Genomic DNA, 25686 nt, shown 5'->3' with positions numbered 1-25686 from the left:
AATCAAATCATGATTTTAATAAGGCTGAAAGTCTAGATTACCCTCAGGAGCCAACTCCAAATGAAAGTGTCCTCATGAAAACTGCAAATTAAATTCCAGACATATCACTAGTTCCCAACTTTGAGTTGAAATCTGATGAAAAATCTTATTAGCAAAGATCAAAGAGAAAGAGAAAACAAAGACCACAGTGGGAGGTGGCCTAGGTCTCTGTTCCCCAAATTTCAATGTCCGTACATATTTTGGAGATCTTGTTAAAATGCATATTTGGTTTCAGTAGTTCTGGCGTGGGGCTCAGAATCTTCTTGTCTAACAAAGTGATGCCTGCTATCCACAGGGCCTTCATCATTGAGGACTTAGATTACCAGAGAGGCTAGATCATTGAGAAACAAAAAATTATAAATGTGGCTGACAATCAGAGAGAGAAGCAGGGAGGAGCCAGATGAGGCCAGGGAGGTGGTATGAATGGGCCTGCATAGCTCTTGGGAGCTAGGTCAGGGACTTTGTTCTTTACACGAAGAAAGGAAAACTATGGGGAAATTGTAAGTGTAGTGGTAACATGTTTAGATTTGCATTTTTATCTTTAACAAAGTATTCAGCAAACATTCACTTAGAAAAATAAAACAGTTCACTCATTTGTGACATTTAGACTTTATAAATGAATAATGATATGTAACTATCTCTACAATAAAAAATGTTCAATCTAAACTTGGGTTATGGCTGGCAAGACACTGGGAGAAAGCATAGGGCATGTTTTATGGTAGACTCATTAATCAATTATCCTCCTTTCTTAAGATTTTGCTAGTAAAAGACAAAGAAGCAGAAGAAAATAATAAAGAGGAGTCAGTGTGAAACCTCTGCGGAAGTGTGGAGTAAGCAGCGTGATGTGCAGAAGTAGCTTTTAACATGACCAAAACTTGACTTAAATGTATTGCCCTCTTAAATTTTGTATGATTACCTCCTAACTCATTTTGTTGCCTATCTGTGAGTACAAAAGCACTATAGTTCTGCACTGACAATAGGTAGTCTTTTCAATTTTGGTCTTTCAAATGATTGGGTCATGGCATCTCATTGTGGTTTTAATTTGCATTTCCCTGGTAACTAATGATAGTGAGTATCGTTTTCTGTCCTTATTTGACATCTGTTTGTTTTCATTGCTGAAGTGTCTGCATAATCCTTTTGTTTATATTTCAATTAAATTATTTGTTTTATTATTTAGTTTTGAGAATTCTTCATATATTCTGGATACAAGTCTTTTTACAGATATGGAATGTGTAAATATTTCTTCATGATTGCCTATCTTCAACAACAAGGTATCACACTGATTCATTACACTGATGACATTATGCTGATTGTACCTAATGAGCAAGAATAGTGACTACTCTGGACTTATTGGTTAGACATTTGTGTAACAAAGGATGGGAAATTAATCTGACAAAAATCAGGAGACTTCTACCTTGGTAAAATTTCCAGGGCTCCAGTGGTGTGAAACATATGATGATATCCCTTTTCAAGTGAAATCTGGCTCTTCCTACAATCAAATGAGAGAAACATATTCTACTGGGCCCTTTTGGATTCTAGAATTAACATATTGCCCTTTTGGTTGTATTACTTTATTCCACTTACCTAGTGACCTGAAAAGCTGTTAGTTTTGAAAACGGTACGAAAAAGGAAAGGCTCTATAATAGGTCTGGGCTGCTGTGGGAGATGCTCTGCCTCTTGAGCCATATGATCCCACAGATCTAATGGTACTGGAAGGGTGAGAGGCATAAAGGGATGCTGTCTGGAGATGTTGACATGCCTCTACTGATGAATCACAGCACAAGCCCTTTGAATTTTGAAGCAAAACCTTGCCATCCTTCATAGATAACTATTTTTCTTTTGAGAAACAGCTCTTGTTCTGCTACTGGCTGGGCATTAGTAGAGACTGAACACTTAACTATGGACCACCAATTTACTATGTGACATGAGCTGCAAATCATGAACGGAGTGTTTTCTGACCCAATAAGCTGTATGATTTAGGATACACAGCAACACTCTAACGTCAAATAGCAGTGATATATACATGATTGAGTCTAAGCAGGTTCTGAGGATAAAAGTGTATTATTACATAAAAAATGGCCCAAATGCACATGGTCCCCACTTCTGCTACACTGCCTTTTCTCTCTTGGCTTGTACCAATGGACTCCTGAGTTGTTCTCTGTGAGCATTTGAAAGAGGAAGAGAAGACTGGAGCCTAGATACAGACATTTCTATAGGATATGCAGACTCCCCAGAAAGTGCACAGCTGCATCACTGGACACCCTTTCTAGGACATGTCTGAAAGAGAGTGATGAAGGGAAATCCTCTCAGTGTGCAGAACTTAGAGTGGTGCACTTGGTCACTTACTTTTCTTGGAAGGAGAAATAGTAAGACTTGTGATTATATATTGGCTTGTGGGATGTGGCCAATGGTTTGGTTGGATGCTCAAGAACATGGGAGAGGAATAATTGGAAATTTGGTAACAAGGAAATTTGGGAAAGAGGTATGTGGATAGACATCTCTGAATTGGCAAAAAATGTATAAATATTTGTATGCTATGTGAATTTCAATCAAAGGATGACCCCAACAGAGAAGGACGGTAATCATATGGATAGAATGATGTATTCTGTGGACATCAGAAATCCACTTTCTCCATCCACCCCCATTAACACTCAATTGACTCATGAACACAGTGGCCATGGTGGCAGGAATGGAGGATAGACAAAGTCTCAGAAACATGGACTTTCACTCACCAAGTTTGTACTGGACATAGTCACTGCTGAGTGCCTAATTTCCTAGCAATGGATAGCAACAGAGTCATCAATTTGTCACCATTCACCAGGGTGATCAGCCAGCTACCTGATGCCAGGCTGATTACATTAGACCACTCCCAAAAAGGAAGAGTCAGTGTTTTGTTGTTACTAAAAAAGCTACTTGTGGCTGGGCATGGTGGCTCATGCCTGTAATCCCAACACTTTGGGAGGCCGAGGGCAGTGGACTACCTGAGGTCGGGAGTTCAAGACCAGCCTGACCAACATGGAGAAATCCCGTCTCTACTAAAAATACAAAATTAGCCAGGCGTGGTGGCACATGCCTGTAATCTCAGTTATGCAGGAGGCTGAGGCAGGAGAATCGCTTGAACCCAGTAGGCGGAGGTTGCAGTGAGCCAAGATCACGCCATTGCACTCCAGCCTAGGCAACAAGAGTGAAACTCTGTCTCAAAAAAAAAAAAAAAAAATAGCTACTTGCTTTGGATACACATTTGCCTCCCATACACCAATGCTTTTGTCAAAACTACTGCCCTTGGACTTACAGAGTACTTACACACCTCATGGTATTTCACATAGCATTGCTTTTGATCAAGGAACTCACTTCACAGCAAAAGAGGTGAAACACTGAACCCATTCTCCTGGAATACACTAGGCCTGCCATGTTCTCTACTATCCCAAAGCCACTAATTTGATGAAAAAGTAAATGGCTTTTTGAAGACCCAGTAACAGCATGGTATTGTCACATCAGAGATGTGGCAGTACCTGTTAGGGCTGGGACAAAGTTTTCCAAAACACTACATGCTCTGAATTAGAATCCTATATATGGCACTGTTTCTGTCATAGGATGCTTGGGCCCAGGAAAGGAACTGGTGAAAATAAGAGTGGGCCACTCACTATTAGCCCTAATGATCTTGTTAGCAAAATTTTTGCTTCTGGTCCCCTGACGTTATTTTTCTCCTGGCCTAGAGGTCTTAGTTCCAGAGGAAGGAATGTTCCACTAGGAGACAGAACAACGATTCCACCAAAGTGAAAGTTCATACCACCACCTGGCCACTTTAGGTTCATCATTTCTCTGAATTCCCTAGCAAAAAAAGAAGTAACTGTGCTGGCTTGGGTGGTTGAGATTTGGGTCACTATACCAGGTGAAGAACCATGTCCAACTGAAGTGCTTACTAAAAGCAATTAGAATAAAGTATGGGCAATGGAAGAAGGTTATATATACCAGCTTTGACCACATGAACAGTTACAGAAATAAAGAATGTAATTGGCACGAGTATTTTCTGTTTGTTTTGAACGCATTTGTGTTTGCGTGTGTGTATAGTAAAAGTCCTTGTTTTCTTTCTTCGATTATTTCATCATGTAACATAAGATGTATTGACTTTATATCACAGTTTTTAACTATTGTTAATTTTGGATCATAATATTTTATTTCCCAGATATTAAAGGAAAGAGTAAATATTAACAAAGATCTTTACCTCCAATCCTGTGGAAGATGCATTGACAAGTGGTGGGCAGGGGATGATTTTATGCGTCAGCTTGACAAAGCCAGAGATGCCCAGATATCTGGTTAAACCTTATTTCTGGGTGTGTCTGTGAGGGTATTTCTAGCAGATACTTGCATTTGAATTGGTGGACTGAGTAAAGCAGATGGCTCTCCTCAGTGTGGGAGGGCATCAGTCAATTTATTTAGGGCCTGAGTGGCATAAAAAGACAGGGGCAGGTCAAATTTGCTCTCTGGCTGACTGAGCTGGCACATTGATTTTCTCCTGCCCTCAGCACTCCTGGTTCTCAGATCTTCAGACTTGGAGTATAGCTTATAACAGATGTATATTTTAACTCTTTCCTAACATCTCTTGAAATGACAAAAATGACAAAAAATATTATATCTATAAAGAAATAATTTGTGTCGGGAAGACATAAAATAGTTGGAATTATATTCAAGGACAAACCAGAGAACAAGTACGTGTAGACTAGACATATACAAGAAAAAGGCTTCAGAAGAAGTCTGAGTTTCTGAGAGGATCTCTTTCATACTCATCCAACATGAAGTATGACTTAACCTGCTACACACGTTGCCACATGCTCAAAGCTTGATGTCCACCTTTTCATTGAAGAAAAAGGCCAATCAGGGAAGTAGACCTTTAAAATGGCAAAAAAAAAAAAAAAAAAAAAAAAAAAAATGGACATCAGATGCTCACATTACCAATCCAATCTTTGGGTTATAACAATGAACAAACCACCAAAAAGACAGATAATTCACAGGAAACCATCAGTACATTGAAAATATTACATAGCAATAAAAATTTTTAGAAAAGCTACAGACACATGTAATAACATGGATTCTCTAAGGGAAGGAGTAATAGAAGTTGAAGTGTTCCATATTCACTCTGTTTCCTGGAGTTTGGTGGGATTTCTTGGGAGAACAAAAAGAGGGTAGATGATTTTGTTAACTGGATGTCCACAAATGTAGAATAATATTTATTTTAAATATTTATATATTTTTATCCTTTATACCAAACATCTAACTGAATAGCTTCCCCTTGATACTTTCTCCTACTCTATCCCAGAAGACAATCCTAGTAATAAGAATATAAATAATTTATTTAGCTGTATAATATTTTCAATTGTCATGAAGGAAACATAAGGCAAGTTGCCTGCAGCAGACATCCTAGGCTCAGTAATCTCCTTGGGCTCATATCAAGGTTAAAAAAGACTGATGCACTCTTACTGCATTCTAGGAATTTGTGCTGTCAGTTTCATTTTAATTTCACAAATATTTCAAAAATGCTTATTTAGGCCCTTATGTGAATAAGCCACTGTCTACACACTGCAAAATACAAAAAGAGTAGTTAGACTATATATTGTAATCTACAAGATCCTTTGGGCCAAAAATAAATACTATGCAAGGAAAATTTTGGCCTTAAAAGAAGAAAAAAATTGCTAAATATTTCAAATGAGTTAGTAGGAACATTTGAGATAGATCTTGAAGAAAGAGTGCCATTTCAATTGTAAATGAGGATGGACGCAGTCAAGGGAGGAAAGTTTCTCTGTGGATGGACCTATCTGAGAAAAAGCATATACCTGAGAGACTAAAGTATGTCCAGAAGTCTCTCAGTAACTGATTTTGGCTACAACACAGATTCCATTAGGACAACTGTAGAGGAGACTCCAGTTAAACCAAGGTTTCATTGGAAATGAACTCAATGTCAGGGTGAGCAAATGCAGTGTGACAAAGATCTATCTATCATCTATAAACACACACACACACAAAGACAAGCACATATAGTTGGCTCTCTATATCTGTTGGTTTTGCATTTGTGGATTCAAACAATTGTGGATCAAAACTATTCAAGAAAAAATAATTGCATCTTTACTAAATATGTAGAGACTGTTGGTTTTGGTCACTATTTGCTAAACAATACAGTATAACAACTATTTACTTAGTGATTACATTGTGTAGGGAAAAGAAAGAGAGATCAGACTATTACTGTGTCTATGTAGAAAAGGAAGACATAAGAAACTGCATTTTGATCTGTACCCTGAACAATTGTTTTGCCTTGAGATGCTGTTAATCTGTAACTTTACCCCCAACCTTGTGTCACAGAAACATGTATTGTATGGAATCAAGGTTTAAGGGACCTAGGGCTGTGCAGGATGTGCCTTGTTAATAGTACGTTTACAGGCAGTATGCTTGGTAAAAGTCATCGCCATTCTCCATTCTCAATTAACCAGGGGCACAATGCACTGCAGAAAGCCACAGGGACCTCTGCTCAGGAAAGTCGGGTATTGTCCAAGGTTTCTAAGATAGCCTGAGATATGGCCTCGTGGGATGGGAAACACCTGACCATCCCTCAGCCCGACACCCTCATCCCGACACAGCATTAGTAAAAAAGGAAGGCCTCTTGCAGTTGAGATAAGAGGAAGGCCTCTGTCTCCTGCATGCCCCTGGGAATGGAATGTTTCAGTATAAAACTGATTGTACGATTTGTTCTATTCTGAGGTAGGAGAAAACCACTCTGTGGCTGGAGGTGAGACATGCTGGTGGCAATGCTGCTCTGTTATTCTTTACTACACTGAGATGTTTGGGTGGAGAAAGGCACAAATCTGGCCTACGTGCACATCCAGGCATAGTACCTTCCCTTGAACTTATTTGTGACACAGATTCCTTTGCTCACATGTTTTCTTGCTGACCTTCTCCCCACTTTCACCCTGTTCTCCTGCCACTTTCCCCTTGCTGAGATAGTGAAAATAGTAATCAATAAATACTGAGCGAACTCAGAGGCCGATGCTGGTGCTGGTCCTCCGTATGCTGAGCGCCGGTCCCCCAGGCCCACTGTTCTTTCTCTATACTTTGTCTCTGTGTCTTATTTCTTTTCTCAGTCTCTCACCCCATCTGACGAGAAATACCCACAGGTGTGGAGGGGCTGGCCGCCTTCAACATTGTATTAGGCATTTTAAGTAATCTAGATATGATTTAAAGTACATAGGAGGATTTGCAGAGGTTATATGCAAAATGCTATACCATTTGATATTAGCGACTTGAGCATCCATAAATTTTGGTATCCGAGGGCAGTGCTAGATCCCCCACAGATCCAGAAGCCCCAGGGATTCAGAAGGATGACTGTATATCACACTTATTTATTTAGATTTTATATTTATATATTTTTATGTGTATGTGTATCTATATGTATATCACAAAATCTGTACATACAAATTAACAAGCATATGGATAGTTACAAGCAGTCATGCATCACTTCATGATGGGAATATGTTCTGAGAAATTTGTCATTATGATTACATCCTATAGTGTTCTTGCAAGAAGTAAGTGATTTTGTCATTGTGAAAACATCCTAGAGTGTACTTACAAAAAATCTAGATGGTATTGCCCACACACCTAGGCTATACGGTATCACCTATTGCTCCTGGGCTACAAACCTGTACATCATGTTACTATACTGAATACTGTAGGCAATTGTAATACAATGGTAAGGATTTGTATATCTAAATATATCCACACATATAAAAGGTAGAGTAATAAAACAACCTAAAAGTTTAAAAATTATACAACTTACCGTAAATGGAGCTTGCAGGATTGGAAGTAGTTCTAGGTGAGTCAGTGAGTAAGTGATGAGTGAATGTGAAGGCCTGGGACATTTCTGTCCACTACTGTGGACTTTATTTTATAAACACTGTACATGTAGGCTACCTTAAATTTATTTCAACATTTTTCTTTCTTCAAAATTAAATTAACTGAGCTTACTGTAATGTTTTTGCCTTATAAATTTTTAAACTTTTGAAAACTTTCTGACTTTTTTGTAATAATACTTAGCTTAAAAGGCAAACATGTTGTACAGCTATACGACAATATTTTTCTTTAAATTCTACTCTATAAGCTTTTTTCTATTTTTAGAATTTTTATTAAATTTTTTATTTTTAAAAAGTTTTATTAAAAACTAAGACACAAACACACACATTAGCTTAGGCCTAGTTAGGGTCGAGATCATGAATATCACTGTCTTCTACCTCCACATCTTGTGCCACTGGAAGGTCTTTAGGGGAAATAACATGTATGTAGCTCTCATCTCCTATGACAACGATGCCTTCTTCTGGAATATATCCTGGAGGACCTGCCTGAGACTGTTTTATAGTTAACTTTTTTATATAATTAGAAGGCATATACTCTAAAATAATGATTAATAGCATAATAAATACATAAACCACTAACAGTTGCTTATTGTCACTATCAAGTATTATGGACGGTACATAAATATATGAGCTATACATTTATATGACTGACAGTGCAGATTTGTATACACCAGCATCACACAAACATATGATTAATGTGTTCTACTGTGACATAATGATGGCTATGATGTCACTAGGTGATAGGAATTTTTCAGCTCCATTGTAATCTTATGGCACCACCATCCCATAGGCAATCAAAATGTCATTATGTGGTACACGACTTTATTCAGCTCTAGGAACATATATCTTATATGCATATAATCTGGTAGCAGTGACAATCCATTAAAGGTTATTGAAGAGGAATATGATTCAATGAGAGTCTTGTTTATGAAAAATTATCTGGCTACAGTGCTTACAAGGTAAGACAGTAAGAGCTAGATGAAAAAGATAAGAAACTTGAGTTTTGCAAAACACACAGCTGAGTATGTTTTGGGGTGGGAACCTGAGTGATACCAGCGTAAACTTACAGAATTTCAAGTGTGAAGAGAATAAGGGCAAGGATGACCTAAAGATGAATCACTCATTATATTTAAAGAACATTGAGTTTGAGGAAAGCTATCAAGGACCTTTCAGCAACAGAATATCCAAACTCTTGCTCATTTTCATGTCTTTTCTATTAACCTCTGTGCAGTATGACAAAATATATAATATATATATAATAACTTTATCTGTGCTTTTTTTCCTGAAACAGTGTCTCACTCTGTTGCCCAGGCTGGAGTGCAGTGGCATGATCATAGCTCACTGCAGCCTCCACCTTCTGGACTCAAGGGATCCTCCTGCCTCAGCCTCCCAACTTGCTGAGACCACAGGTGCACACAACCATGCCTGGCTAGTTTTAAATTTTTGTTTTAGAGATGGGGTCTTCCTATGTTGCCCAGGCTGGCCTAGCAACATATACTTAGCTGGCCTATATACTTTTATAATATAAAGTTCTCATCATTCAGTCCCCACATCTAAGTGAGAACATGTGTTATTTGTTTTTCTCTTCCTGTGTTAGTTTGCTAAGGATAATGGCCTCCAGCTCCATCCATGTCCCTGCAAAGGCATAAAGTCACTCATTGTTAAGGAATATAATTACATTATAATTACATTACAATATAATTACATTATAATTACATGTAATATAATTACAGTATATTCCTTGTAATATAACCTATAAATATCACTGATTTCTTGATCTTACAAGGTTCCTTTCTTTTTAATTCAGGGAAAATTTAGACCATTTAATTCTTATTCTACCACTTCTGTTTTTTTTTTTTTTTCTCTGCACTCAACTTAATTATTAAGTCTAATGTGTTAGCTTTCCGAATTAGTAAAGGTTTTCAGACTGCCAACAAACATACAAACACAGCTGGAAATGATCTTAGAAGGCATCACAAACAGGGAGAAGCAACTGGCCTCTCCTCACTCACAGAAGCACACTGAACTAAGAGAATCCTCTCATAGTTTCCTATTTCTGTTCATTTCTGTCTATGATATGTGAATTGAATCTCTACAAGAGAAGAAATTAACCATTTCCCAATAAAGTGGAATAAAACACTTTGTGATGGTTAGCTGAATTCATGAGATTTGTTTGGGCTCATGCAAACACAAACTTGTTCTATGGAGGAATTGTGCTATGAATCTCCAGTTTATAAACCTGTATTAGTAACAAAGACATCATACTCAAGTTGTTATTAAAGGATCTACTATTGTAGCACTTGATCCGTTTATAAAGCCACATTGAAGAGCAAGAAACCTGTAAAATGTTTTTTTTTTCTGCTCTAATCTAGTATGTCATGAACAGTTGACAAAATTTTCTTGTATGCTTTTCAATAATATATACAAATATCTTAAAGAATTCATTAGATACTAATGACTTGAGTCGTTAAAAAGTTAGGACAATTGTAACTGCAAAAAACTTTAAACATACACTAACATATACTGACATCTAGCCTGCATGATTATGTGACTTTAAATAGAGAATACATTCCAGTATGAGATCTAAACATTTCCTTTTAATGTTTTTGTCAGTGAATCTATGACTTGCTTATTTCTCAGGCTGTAGATAATGGGATTTAAGAAAGGAATTATGACAGTGTAAAATAGAGACTCCACCATATCTTGATCATCTGCTTGTGGAGATGCAGGGTGCACATACATGAAGAGAAGGGGGCCATAGTATAAAGAAACAGATAAGAGATGGGCTCCACAGGTGGAAAAGGCTTTCCTTATGTCTTTGGCAGACTTTTTTTTTTAAGATTGTAAAGAGGACAAATGTATAAGAGACAAGAACAGTCAAAATAGTGAATACCTGTATTGAACCAGACAAAATAAAAAGCATTAAAAAATTAATAGAAGGGTCAGTACAGGAAATCTTTAACAATGGGATAATGTCACAGTAAAAGTGATGTATTATGTTGGAATTACAGAAGGTTAATCTGAATAAAATACCTTCATGAATTAAGGCATGAAGAAAGCCACCTATAAATGACAAGACTAATAGCCAGATACACAGTCCATTGGTCATAATGACTGGATAAAGTAAAGGTTTGCATATGGCTACATAGCGATCATATGCCATTGTTGCCAAGAGAAAACATTCTGTGGTTCCACTGATTCCAAAGGAAAAAAATTGTATCTTGCATTCAGAGACAGAAATAATCATACTCTTAGCTAAAAAGCTGATCAGCATCTTAGGGGTCACTGAGGATGATAACCAAGCATCCACAAAGGCTAAACTCCCAAGGAATAAGTACATTGGAATGTGAAGGTGTGAGTCTTTCCAGATGACAGCAATCAGACCAAGATTTGCCATGATGGTGATGAGATATATTACCAAGAATGCCAGGAACAGGGGTATTTTCCACTCTGATTGATATGTAAGTCCTGTGAGAACAAACTCTGTCAGCAATGTTGCATTTTCGTCATCCATGTCCTCATTGGATGTACCCTGAGTGAACTGAAATAAATATAAAAAGAATATTCAATAAGAATTTATAAAGTGAATACTGGAGGAGAGGAGTTAAAATAAAATCATACACTCATCAGAATGTCCTATTCATGCATTTATTACACTGTGCTAATGAAAACTATAGTAGGGGAACTGAAGAGGTGGAAAAATGCAATTATTTGAGTTTATAGAATGTTGCGGGAAGTCAAGGACCCTGAATGGAGGGACCAGCTGAAGCCATGGTAGAAGAACATTAATTGTGAAGATTTCATGGACATTTATTAGTTCCTCAAATTAATACTTTTATAATTTCTTATGCCTGTCTTTACTGCAATCTCTGAACATAAATTGTGAAGATTTCATGGACACTTATCACTTCTCCAATCAATACCCTTGTGATTTCCTATGCCTGTCTTTACTTTAATCTCTTAATCCCATCATCTTCGAATGCTGAGGAGGATGTATGTCACCTCAGGACCCTGTGATGATTGCGTTAACTGCACAAATTGTTTGTAGAGCATGTGTGTTTGAACAATATGAAATCTGGGCACCATGAAAAAAGAACAGGATAACAGCAATGTTCAGGGAACAAGAGAGATAACCTTAAACTCTGACTGCCAGTGAGCCGGGCGGAACAGATCCATATTTCTCTTCTTTCAAAAGCAAATGGGGGAAATATCGCTGAATTCTTTTTCTCAGCAAGGAACATCCCTGAGAAAGAGAATGCATCCCTGAGGGGAGGCCTTTAAAATGGCCTCTTTGGGGGGCGGCTGTCTTTTACAGTCGCAGCTGTGGGATGAAATAAGCCCCTGTCTCCCATAGCGCTCCCAGGTGTATTAGGACAAGGAAATTCCCGCCTAATAAATTTTGGTCAGACCGGTTGTCTGCTCTCAAACCCTGTCTCCTGATAAGATGTTATCAATGACAATGCGTGCCCAAAACTTCATTAGTAATTTTAATTTCGCCCTGGTCCTGTGGTCCTGTGATCTCCCCCTGCCTCCATTTACCTTGTGATATCTTATTACCTTGTGAAGCATGTGATCTCTGTGACCCACACCCTGTTCGTACACTCCCTCTCCTTTCTGAAAATCACTAATGAAATCTTGCTGGTTTTACGGCTTGGCTCAGGGGACATCACGGAACCTGCCGACATGTGATGTCTCCCTTGGACACCCAGCTTTAAAATTTCTCTCTTTTGTACTCTGTCCCTTTATTTCTCAGACTGGCCAACATGTAGGGAAAATAGAAAAGAACCTACATGAAATATCGGGGGTGAATTTTGCCTGATAATAGAATGTGCATGAATAAACATATTTAAGCAAAAAGAGAGTCATTCTATAGATGTGATTAATTTATGTGGACACTGGAGGATGGTACAAAATTTCTGTGTCTGATACATGGAAACAAGGTCAAGGGAAAAGATCTTTGTAAGGTCAGAAACACAAAAAGAGTTAAAAGCCATGTGAAGGACTTTGAACTTTATTCTTCAGGAAATAGTCAGGAATTTAAAATTCTAAGACAGACAGTGGCATGTAAGATGTATTTTAAGTTAAATAATTGGTGTTATAGAAAATAGGCTGCAAGGAAGGGAACCTGCAGTCAGAGATACTAATCCAGAAGCTGTTTCTATTGCAAAGGAATACCAAGCCAGATTACATATCAGAATTGTCTGGGGAACTTTCTTACCAAAATATAGGACATGAGGGATTACTAACAAACTCTGTAGTTCAAGAATGAGGTCTAGGAATATGTATTTTTAAGAAAATGCTATTCATGTGATTCAAATGCAGGCAAAGTACCTACTTCATGTGTGATAAGGAAGTGATGATGAAGACAAAGAAATAGATTGAAAAGAACTCAGAATGTAGAGTCAACAGGGCTCCATGACATATTAGATGGGAAGAGAATAGTCACTGAAATAAAGAGGAGTCATTTGGTGATTCAAAATGAGATTCAGAACTCAGGTTCGTTGGCAGATATGTGGAAGAAGCATTCACTGAACATCCAGGTGAGGTGTGCTTAGAGATGTGACTCTACTAGAACTTAATAAAAATAATGATATGAGAGGCATTGGGGGTAGTTTAAGGCATAGTTATAGATGTCCTATGCATTGGAGAGTGTATCAAACATAAAAGAGGATCAGAGAGGCAATACATTTAAATTACGTTAAACAGGTTATAAAGCGTATCCAATTTACATGTCATTTATTAGATGGCCAGCCCCTGGTCCTCTTTTCTACCACATGAATCTTGGTGGCCGAGAGAGAATACTACCCATTCTAGAGCTAGAAACTTACTTTTCCATCCTTCTTGCACCTAGAATGAGGCTACTTGAGTAGGTTTGGCCAGCCAAACCCACCAACATAGATTTGGAATTTGGGAGGTGGGAAACAAAGGAACAGGGATCAAAGAGAATGTCTGATGCAAAAGCAGCCAAAGCAGCAATATCAAGACCCTGACAAAAGCATCTGCACACAACAATGGAACTGACAGTGTGAGCTGTGGCATTTGAAATTTCAACCATGACAATGGGAGCTTCTGTTGAGCTAGCGTTGGGCCATAATTTGGGCTGTTGACTGGCTGTCTTACTTCATTCTGTTCCTGCCCATTTTTACAGCTGATTCTTCCAATTTCCCTGGCATTTCTATTTTACATAGCTTTCCGTTCAATAAACTCATTGCCCAATGCAACCAAGAGTCCTGGCTCAAACAAAGAGACAAGGGCGATGTCAGAAAAAAATACTGAGCAGAGTGATCAAAGAAGCAGGAGGGAAACTGGAAAGCTGAATGTTGTAGACATAAAGATAGGAAATATACTCAAGAAGGACAAAGTACAGGGCAAAATGCCAGAAGAAATGCTCTGGTTGGACTAAATATGAATAGAGATCACTGATTGTGGAAATTAGAGATTTTTAGTGGCTTCAGTGAGAGCAGTTTGCATTTTCTGATAGAATTAAAGTCAGAAAAAAATAAGAAGTGAATGGGAAACAAATGGCACAACAAATGAGGGGAATGAACTACAGCACTGCACTCCAAGTAATGTGAACAACATTTGCCATTTGCCTACTGTTGTAGAAATGTAAATAAATTAGTCCAACCATTGTTGAAGACACAGTGGTGATTCCTCAAAAACCTAAAGACAGAGAAATATCATTCAACCTAACAATCTCATTACTGGGTATGTACCCAAAGGAATATAAATTGTTCTACTATAAAGACACATGCCTGTGTGTGCCCACTGCAGCACTGTTCACAATATCAAAGATATGGAATCAATGACGGAATCCAGTCCATCAATCATAGACTGGATAAAGAAAATGTGATACATATACATGATGGAATACTATACAGCCATAAAAAAGAAGGAGATCATGTCCTTTGCAGTGACATGGATGGAACTGGAGGCCATTATCCTTAGTAAACTAACACAGGAACCAAAAACCAAATACTTCATATGCTCACTTACAAGCGGGAGCTAAATCATGAGAACACACGGACACATAGAGGAGAACAACACACACTGGGGCCTGTCACAGGGTGGAGGGTTAGAGGAGGGAGAGGATCTGGAAAAATATAATAACTAATGGGTACTAGGCTTAATACCTGGGTGATGAAATAATCTGTACAACAAACCCAAATGATACAAGTTTACCTATGTAAAAAACCTGCACATGCACCCCTGAACTTAAAAATAGACATTTTCTGTAAGCCTTTTTAATAAAAGTTTTCAAAAGCAAGGAGAAGAAAGGAAGGCAAGGAGAGGAGGAAAGGAACCAGAGAAGTGGAAAAGAAAATCTGGGTAGTGAAAAGAAAATAAAAAAGAGAAAAATAGAAAACAAAAAAGGCATATATGAATGAATGTAGAAAAGACAAGAGAAGCAGAAAAGAAACTGGAAAGCTGAGTGTTGGAAAGCCGAAGAATAGGAAGAGAGGAAGTATCAGAGAAAGACAGAGGATTGGAGGTAAATAGATGTTTTAACCCTAAAGTTCATTAAAAGATGTGAATTAGATGTGAATTCTAGGAATCTTTTCTTTACTGTTACTCAAAATTCAAACTTTAGTTTCATATGGTCTTTTTGTATGAAAACAAGATCCAATTTTAAATTTTACTTACAAACTTTGTATTATTCATAGATACACTAGCACTGTCTAAAAGTTCTTTCTGTATATAAGTCATTTTGTCTTTGTTATTCTAGTGGTTAGAACTGACTTTAGGAATTCTGCTGGCTTTACTTGAGAGCACTTTCTTCTCCAACAATTTTTTTTAAGCAAGATAATATTGAGCCAAGACTGCAACCTGAAACAGGCTATAAAAATAGCCAACAACAATAATTTCAGTGATTTTTAGATGTATTTTAATTTTGAATTAAATTAAATTAAATCAAATTGGGCCCCATTCATGCAATCTCAATAGAAAAATAATTGAAAATCTCTAATTCTATTTGTGTGTGGATACTTTTTAAGTCATAAATATGGAAAAAGCAAACATTGGTGGGACATTTTTCTGCATTTTTATGTATTTTCTGCACATAAATAAATATAAATAGTGAAATTATTTGCAAAAGTGGGTAAAAAACTAAGTATTAAGTGACACCTTAAAAGTTTTAATCATAACATGTATTTAATTAAACAATAGATTATTTTATCAGAATCGACAAAAGGATATCTTATATAGTGATCATTATAATTGAATCTTTAAACTTAATTTTAAGTTGTTCTGGTTCACCAAAACTTACCTTATAAAGTCACTATAATTAGGTTAACAAGGTAATAAAACATCACTGAAGGGAGCAAATCAGTATTACAGCTATTTTGCTTGTTGAGGCTTTATTAATTATTTTTATTTTCTAACTACTAGAGAAGTAGGGAACAGACTTTAATTGTAAAAATAAAGTATGCAAAAAAATAAAAAAAATAAAGTGTGCAGATAATTCACTAATACTTTTCATATCTACCTATTCTGACATCTTATAAACCTAATCTTAAATTATTATTAAACAAATTTTAAACTTTCTACCTAAAGAATAATAAATACTATAGAAATCATTTTACTCTTACCCATTTATTGGAGGAAATTGTGGAGATCCTTTAAAGGTGTTAGGTTTTCTAAAGTAGAAATAAACATAATTATAGCACTAAAATGACAAAAACATAAGTAGAAATCGTGGCACCCTGATTCGTTTCAGAGGTTTTATTTCCCAAGTTGAAGAAACGTGTGTATAAATTTTCCTTGAACACCAAGTCAACTAATTGTACAACTGTGCACTTTTGCCAAAACAGGAAAAAGTGGAGAACTGAAATTGTCCCAAGAGAGCTTGAGGATCCCCTTAAGGACAAAGTTAGGGGTTCTACTGGGCATTGTAGGATTGGACATGTATGAAAAGTTCAGATTGTTCCACAGGGGATTACAGACTTTAGAATCATAAACATCAAGTTACTGTAGACAGTTCTAGTTTTAAGAATTGAAATTATACTTTATGCCTTTTTTTTTTTTTTTTAACCACAGATGACACTACTGACATATTTGTACAAACTTTGGTTTACTTACATAATTTGATGCTCTGAGTTCTTTGGTTAGTATGGTCTCATCTGAGTTAATTAAAACATGATTTTAATAAAACCAAAGATCTAAATTCCTTTCAGAAGCAAACACCAAGTTGTCCTCCTCATGCAAACTGCAGCTCAAATTCCAGACATATACCTAGCTCCCCAAGTTTACCTAAATATACCTAGCTCCCCAAATATACTTAGCTCCCCAAAAGTCTGAGGAGAAATTTTTCTAGGCAAAAGTTAGGGGGAGGAGCAAAGAAAATAAAAGACAAAGGACCTCTGTGGAGGGAGCATAGATCTGTGCTTCCCAAATTTCAATGCCTATGAATTTCCTGGAGACACTGTTAAAATGCAAATTCTGTTTCAGTAGTTCTGAGGTGGGGCTCAAGAGTCATCTTGTTTAGGCCTGCGCGGTGACTCACGCCTGTAATCCCAGCACTTTGGGAGGCTGAGGCGGACGGATCATTTGAGACCATATGAGACTAGCCTGGCTAACATGGTGAAACTCCTGTACTAAAAACACCAAAAAAAAAAAAAAAGAAAAAGAAAAAGAAAAAAAAAAAGGTGGGGCATGGTGGCTCACGCCTGTAATTCCAGCACTTTGAGAGGCCAAAGCGGGCGGATCACCTGAGGTCAGGAGCTCGAGACAAGCCTGACCAACATGGAGAAACCCTGTCTCTACTAAAAATGCAAAAAAGTAGCTGGGCATGGTGGCGCATGTCTGTAATCCCAGCTACTCGGGAGGCTGAGGCAGGAGAATCAATTGAACCCGAGAGGCGGAAGTTGTGGTGAGCCAAGATTGTGCCATTGCACTCCAGCCTGGGCAACCAGAGTGAAACTCCATCTCAAAAAAAAAAAGAAAAGAAAAAATTAGCTGGGTGTGATGGTGCTTGCCTGTAATTCCAGCTACTTGAGAGGCTGAGACACAAGAATTGCTTGAATCCAGGAGGCGGAGGTTGCAGTGAACCGAGATGGCCTGGGCTACAGAGTGAGACCCTGTCTCAAAAAGAAAGAAAGAAAGAAAAAAAAAAAGCAGTCTTCCTGTCTGAGTGATGCCTGTGGACACTTGCCTTCCACATAACATTCATCATTGGAGGGCCTAGATTATAAGAGAACCTATATCACTGGGGAAACAAAAAATGACAGATGTGGCTGGCAATCAAAGAGAGAAGCAGGAAGGAGCCAAATGTGGCCAAAGAAGCAGTATGAGTGGGATTGCACAGGGTTTGGAGACTAGGTCACAGACTTTGTTCTTTAATCTCAATTTGGAGGAAAACTATTGAGAGATTGTAATTGTGGTAGTAATACGTTCAGATTTTCTTTTTGAGAATTAACATAGAAATTTGTCAATGAGCATTTATTCAGAAAAGTAAAAATGTCCTTATTTTTGGCATTTAGATTTGATATCTGAATAGTGATAAGTAACTACCTACACATTAACTTTTTAAAAACTTTAATCTCCACCAGCAAGATGGGAGAAAGCAAAGGGCATAACTTTTGGTAGGTTTATTAATCAATTATCTGACTTTCTTAGAATTTTTCTAGTGAAAAAAATATACAGAAGAAAATTGCCTATATAGAAGCAAAGTAACTGTGAATGCGCCGCAGAAAGGTTGAGTAAACAATATGATGTGCCGAGTTAGCTATTCACCCAACCAAAATTTGACTTAAATTGACTACCCCTTTAAATGTTATGTAATTATCTCCCAACTTGTTTCCTAGTTTTTACTAACAGAAGTCTGCATCATTGTTTTCAGTATAAATAATCTTTTCAATTTTGTTAATTTAAATATGTGGCTCATAGCATCTCATTGAGGTTTTAATTTGCATTTCCAAGATGACTAATGATCCAGCATGTATTTATGACCTTATTTGGCATATCTGTATTATTTTTGGTGAAGTTTCTTCTGTTAAAATATTTTGCTTATTTAATAAAATTGGGTTATTAGGTTTCTTTTCATTGATTTTGAGAGCTTGCTGTATATTCTGGATACAATTCTTTTGTCGGATATATGAGTTGCAAATATTCGGGAACTTGATCCTCTTTCTTTTCCACGACATATTCCACTGATGATATACTGATGACATTGTGCTGATTATTCTGATGACATGCTGATTGTCCTATTAAGCAAGAAATAGCAACTACTCAAGACTTATTGGTAATATATTTGCATGCCAGAGAGTTGGAAATAAATTTCACAAATATTCAGGGACTTTCTATTTCAGTGAAATTTCTAGGGATCCAGTGGTGTGGGGCATGTTGAGCTATCTCTTCTAAAGTGAAGGAAAAGTTGTTCCATCGAACCTATCCTGCAGGCTAGAAAGAGGCATAAAGCCTTAATAGGTTCTTTGAATTTTGGAGACAACATGTTCCTAATTGGAGTGAGTTACTCTGGCCCATTTAACCAATAACCCAACAAGTTGCTGGTTTGATTGAGGCTCAGAATACAAGAAGGCTCTGCAACAGGTCTAGGCTGCTGTGCAAACTACCTAGAAGGATAAAGGGGATATCATGATGTTACCATTATCTATTGCCCTCATATAAGTCTCATGTAGAAGGTACTTTAGTAGATGTGGTAAATATCATACCATTATAGCAAGTGCACATCTTATAGATGAACTTTTAAAAAATTTTAAAATAATTTTGTGGGTACGTAGTAGGTGGTATATATTTGTTGGGTACATGAGATATTTTAACAGAGGCATACAATTCATAATAATCAGATCAGGGTAAATGGGTTTTCAATTGCCTCAAGCATTTATTCTTTCTTTGTGTTACAAACAATCCGATTATACTCTGTTATTTTTAAATGTACAATAAGTTATTGTTGACTGCAGTCACAATGTTGTGCTATCAAATACTACATCTTATTCATTCTACTTAACTATATTTTTGTACCCATTAACCATAACCACTCCTTCCTGCCTACTATCCTCACCAACCTCTGGTAGACATTCTTCTACTCTATCTCCATGAGTTCAACGTTTTAATTTTTAGCTCCCACAAATAAGTGAGAACATGCAAAGTTTGTCTTTCTGTGCCTGACTTATTTTACTTAACATAAAGACCTCCAGTTTTATACATGTTGTTGCAAATGAAAGGAGCATACTTTTTAATGGCTGAATAGTACTCCTTTGTGTATATGTAGCACATTTGCTTTATCCATTCATCTGTCAATGGACACTTAGGTTGCAAATCTTGACTATTGTGAATAGTGCTGCAATAAACATGGGAGTGCAGATATCTCTTCTATATACTGCTTTTCTTTTCTTTCTTTCCTTTTTTTTTTTTTTTTTTTTTTTGGCTATATACCTAGCAGTGGGATTGCTGGGTCATATGGTAGTTCTATTTTTATTTTCTTGAGGAACCTCCAAGCTATCTCACACTGCTTGTATTAATTTACATTCCCAATAACAGTATATGGCAGTTTCCTTTTCTACACACACTAACCAGCATTTCTCATTGCCTATCATTTGGATATAAGCCATTTTAACTGGAGTAAGATGTTATCTCCTTGTAGTTTTGATTTGTATTTCTCTGACGATCATTGATATTGACCATCTTTTCATATACCTGTTAGTGATTTGTATGTCTTCTTTTGAGAAATGTCTATCATATCTTTTGCCGATTTTTAATCAGGTTATTAGATTTTTTTCCTATTAGTTGTTTGGGTTTCTTATGTATTCTGATAATTAATACTTTGTCAGATGGGTAGTTTGCAAATATTTTCTCCCATTCTGTGGGTTGTCTCTTCACTTTTTTGATTGTTTGCTGTGCAGAAGCTTCCTAACTTGATATGATTCTGTTTATCCATTTTTGCTTTGATTGCCTCTGCTTTTGGGGTATTACTCAAGAACTCTTTGCCCAGTCCAATGTGCTGCCCATTGTTTTCTTGTAGTAGTTTCATAGTTTCAGGTATTCTAGTTCAGTCTTCAGTCCATTTTGACTTTTGTATATGGTGAGAGACAGAGGTCTAGTTTCAATTTCTGCATATGAATATCCAGTTTTCCCAGCACCATTTATTGAAGAGACTATCCTTTCCTCAATGTATGTGTTTGGCACCTTTTTTGAAAATGAGCTCATTGTACATAGATGTATGAATTTGTTTCTGGGTTCTCTATTCTGTTCCATTGGTCTATGTGAGTATTTTTATGCTAGTACCATGCTGTTTTGGTTATTATAGCTCTGTAGTATAATTTGAAGTCAGTTACTGTGATTCTTCCAGTTTTGTTCTTTTTTGCTCAGGATAGCTTTGTATATTCTGAGTCTTTTTTAGTTCCATTCAAATGTTAGGATTGATTTTTTCTATTCCTGTGAAGAATGTCATTGCTATTTTGATAGGCATTGCATTGAATCTGTAGTTTGCTTTAGGTAGTATAGACAATTTTAACAATATTGATTCTTCCAACCCATGAACATGGAATATATTTCCATTTTTTGGTGTCATCTTCAATTTCTTTCATCAGTGTTTTATAGTTTTCATTACAGAGATCTTTCACTTTTTTGGTGAAGTTAATTCCTAGGTATAAAATTTTATGTGTGGCTATTGTAAATGGAATTAATTTTTTATTTTTTTTCAGATTGTTCACTGTTGGTATATAGAAATGCTACTGATTTTTTGTATGTTGATTTTGTATCCTGCAACTTTATTGAATTTGTTGATGAGTTCTCATAGTTTTTTGGCAGAGTCTTTAGGTTCATCCAAATATAAGATCATATCATCTGCAAACAAGAATAATTTGACTTCTTCCTTTCCAATTTGGATACCCTTTATTTCTTTCTCTTGTCTGATTGCTCTAGCTAGACTTCTAGTACCATGTTGACTAAAAGTGGTAAAAGTGGACATCCCTGTCATTTTCCAGATATTAGAAAAAAGGCTTTTATTATTCCCCATTTAGTATGATAATAGCTGTGGGTCTTTCATCTATGGCTTTTATTATGTTGAGATATGTTTCTTCTATATCCAGTTTTTTGAGGGTTTTTATCATAAAGGGGTATTGAATTTTATCAAATGTTTTTTCTGCATCAATTCAAATGATCATATGGGTTTTGTCTTTTATTCTGTTGATATGATGTATCACACTGATTGATATGCATATGCCAAACCATCCTTACATCCCTGGGATAAATCCAACTTGGTCATGATGAATGATTTTTTTAATGTGATGTTGAATTTGGCTTGCTACTATTTTGTGGATTTTTGCATGAATGCTCATCAGGAATATTGGCCTGTAGTCTTTTTTTGATATGTCTTTGGTAGCAAAGTAATACTGGCCTTGTAGAATGAGTATTCCTCCCAGCTCTATTTTTTGGGATAGTTTTAGGAGGATTGATGTTAAGTTATTCTTTAGATATTTGGTAAAATTCAGCAATGAAGCCAATTGACTGTATGTTTTCAAATATCCCATCTTCAAGCTCACTAATACTTTCTTATGCTCGATCAGTTCTGCTATTAAGAGATTCTGACGTAATCTTTATTATTTCAATTGCATCTTTCAGCTCCAGAATTTCTGCCTGATTCTTTTAAATTATTTCAGTCTGTTTGTTAAATTTATCTGACGGGTTTTTCCTTGTTTGGAGACTTCTTATTAAAGCTTCAGTCTCCTTACTTGTTATTGGTCTGATCAGGTTTTGGATTTCTGCATGGTTCAATCTGGGGAGGTGGCATCTAGGATTTTATCCATTTCTTCTACATTTTCAAATTTATTTACATATGGTTACTCATAGTAGTCCCTAATAATCATTTGCGTTTCTGTGGTATCAATTGTAATGTCTCCTTTTTTATCTCTGATTTTATTTATTTGGGTTTTCGTCTTTTTTTCTTAGGTAGTCTGGCTAATGGTTTGTCAATTTTGTTTATCCTTCTATAAAACCAACTTCTCATTTCCTTGATTTTTGTATTGTTTTCCTTTTTTCTTTTTCATTTATTTCTGCTCTAATTTTTATTGTTTATTTCCTTCTACTAATTTTGGATTTGGTTTGCTCTTGCTTTTCTAATTCTTTAGGATGCATTGTTCTGTTGTTTATTTGAAGTTTATCTATGTTTTTGTATGTAGACACTTATGGCTATAAACTTTCTTAGTACCAATTTTGCTGCATCCTATAGGTTTTGGTATATGTTGCATTTTCATTTTTGTTTGTTTCAAGAAAATTTTCAGTTTTCTTCATTGACTTACTGGTCATTCAGGTACATATTGTTTAATTTCTATGTGCTTGCATAGTTTCCAGAGTTCCTCTTGTTATTGACTTCTAATTTTATTCCATTATGTTAAGAGATGATACTTGATATTTCTTTTTTTTTTAATTCTTTGAGACTTGTTTTGTGCCATAACATATAGTCTATCCTTGAGAGCGATCTATGTGCATAGGAGAATAATGTGTATTCTGCAACTGTTGGATGAAATGTTCTGCAAATATCTATTAGGTCCATTTGGTCTATAGGGCAAATCACATTTAATGTTTCTTTGTTGATTTTGTGTCTGAAAGACCTGTCCAATGCTGAAAGTGGGATGTTGAAGTCTCCAGCTATTATTGTATTGGGGTCTATCTCTCTTCAGCTCTAGTAATATTTGCTTTATATATCTGGGTGCTCTAGTGTTGACTGCATATATATTTACAATAATTATATCTTATTGCTGAGTTGACCTCTTTATAATCACATAACCTTCTTAGTGCCCTTTTATACTTTTTGCCTTAAAATCTATGTTGTCTGATATAAGTATAGCTATTCCTCCTTTTTTTTTGTTTCCATTTGCATGCAACATCTTTTTCCATCCCATTATTTTCAATCTATGTGTGTCTTTATAGGTGAGGTGTGTTTCCTGTATGCAACAAATCATTGGGTCTTTTTAAAAAAATCTATTCAGCCACTATATATCTTTTGATTGGAGAGTTTAGTCTATTTATATTCCATGTTATTGTTCATCAGTAAGGTCTTACTCTTGCCATTTTGTTATTTGTTTTCTGGTTTTTTTGGTGGTATTCTGTCTTCTCTTCTTTTCTTCCTTCTTGTTTTCCATTTAGTGAAGGTGATTTTTCTTTGGTGGCATGTTTTAATTTCTTGATTTTTATTTTTTTGTGTATCTGGTGAAGGTTTTGTGATTTGAGATTGCCATGAAGCTTGCCAATACTATCTTATAACCCATTACTTTAAACTAATGATAAATTAACACTGATTGCATAGGCAAACAAACAAATCAACAAAGATAAACAAATACAATTCACTTTAACTTTATCTCCCCACTTTTCAATTTTTTATTGTTTCTATCTGTATCTTATTGTACTGTCTATGCTTGAAAAGTTGTAGTTTTGATTATTGATCACTTCATATTTAGTCTTTCTATTCAAGATGTGGGTAATTTATATGCCACAATTACAGTGTTGTTCTGTTTCTCTGTGTACTTACTATTACCAGTGAGTCTTGCATCTTCACATTATTTCTTATTGCTCATTAATGTTCTTTTCCGTCAGATTGAAGAACTCCCTTTAGCATTTATTATAGGACAGGTCTGATGTTGGTGAACTCCCTCAACTTTTGTTTGTCTGGGAAAATCGTTATTTCTCCTTCATGTTTGAAGGATATCTTCACTGTTTGTATTATTCTAAGATAAAAGTTTTTTTCTTCAGCACTTCAAGTATGTCATGCCACTCTCTCCTGGCCTGTAAGGTTTCTACTGAAAAGTCTTTTGCAAGACATATCGGAGCTCCATTGTATGTTATTTTTTTTAATTTTCTCTTGCTGCTTTTAGAATTCTTTCTTTATTTTTGACCTTAGGGAGTTTGATTGCTAAATGTCTTTAGGTAGGCTTCTTTAGGTTAAATATATTTGGTGTTCTATAACCTTCTTGTACTTGGATATTGATATCTTTCTGTAGGTTTGAGAAGTTCTCTGTTATTATCCCTTTGAATAAACTTTCTACCCCATCTCTCTTTTTATCTACTCCTTAAGGCCAATACCTCTTAGATTTTCTCTTTTAAGGCTATTTTCTACATCTTTTAGGCATGCTTCATTCTTTTGTATTTTTTTTTCTTTCATCTCCTCTGATGGTGTATTTTCAAATATCCTGTCTTCAAGCTCACTAATACTTTCTTATGCTTGATCAGTTCTATTTATTTCAATTGCATTTTTCAACTCCAGAATTTCTGCTTGATTCTTTTAAATTATTTCAGTCGCTTTGTTAAATTTATCTGACGGGATTCTGAGTTCTTTTTTTGTGTGTTATCTCAAAATTCGTGGAGTTTCCTCAAAGCAGCTATTTTGAATTCACTGTTTGAAAGGTCACATATCTCTGCTTCTCATGGATGGATTCCTGGTGTCTTACTTAGTTCATTTGGTAGGTCATGATTTTCTGGATTGTCTTGAAGCTTGTGGATGTCTTTCAATGTCTGGTATTTATTATTGTCTTTGCAGTCTGGGCTTATTTGTACCCATCCTTCTTGGGAAGACTTTATGGGTATTTGAAGGAACTTGGGTGTTTTAATGTAAGTTTTTGGTCACTACAGCCATATCTGTATTAGGAGGCAATCCAAGCCAAGTAACACTGTGGTTCTCACAAAGAGGTAAAACCTTGGTGGTCTTGGATAAGATCTGGAAGAATTCCCGGGGTTATCTGGTAGAGACTCTTGTTCTCTTCCCTTACTTTCTCCAAAACAAATGGTGTCTCTGTCACTC

At 36.2% G+C, this 25686-nt stretch overlaps 1 long non-coding RNA gene and 1 pseudogene across 1 annotated transcript in view; one reads left to right on the top strand and one right to left on the bottom strand.

The window, feature by feature from the left end:
* Nucleotides 1–8678: 8678 nt before the first annotated feature.
* The window catches only part of LOC105373999 (uncharacterized), a 51966-nt gene continuing 34958 nt past the window's right edge, over nucleotides 8679–25686 (top strand). The window contains exon 1 of the long non-coding RNA XR_924258.2: nucleotides 8679–8893. This is a non-coding gene — a long non-coding RNA (uncharacterized LOC105373999). The remainder of the gene's footprint in view (nucleotides 8894–25686) is intronic.
* OR5H8 (olfactory receptor family 5 subfamily H member 8 (gene/pseudogene)) lies at nucleotides 10521–11448 on the bottom strand (annotated as a pseudogene).

The sequence above is a fragment of the Homo sapiens genome, chromosome 3 (assembly GCF_000001405.40).
Source record: "Homo sapiens chromosome 3, GRCh38.p14 Primary Assembly".
In the NCBI taxonomy this organism is placed as follows: Eukaryota; Metazoa; Chordata; class Mammalia; order Primates; family Hominidae; genus Homo; species Homo sapiens.
The sequence above is the reverse complement of the archived record's forward strand: the minus strand, read 5'-3'. Positions and strand labels throughout refer to the sequence as shown.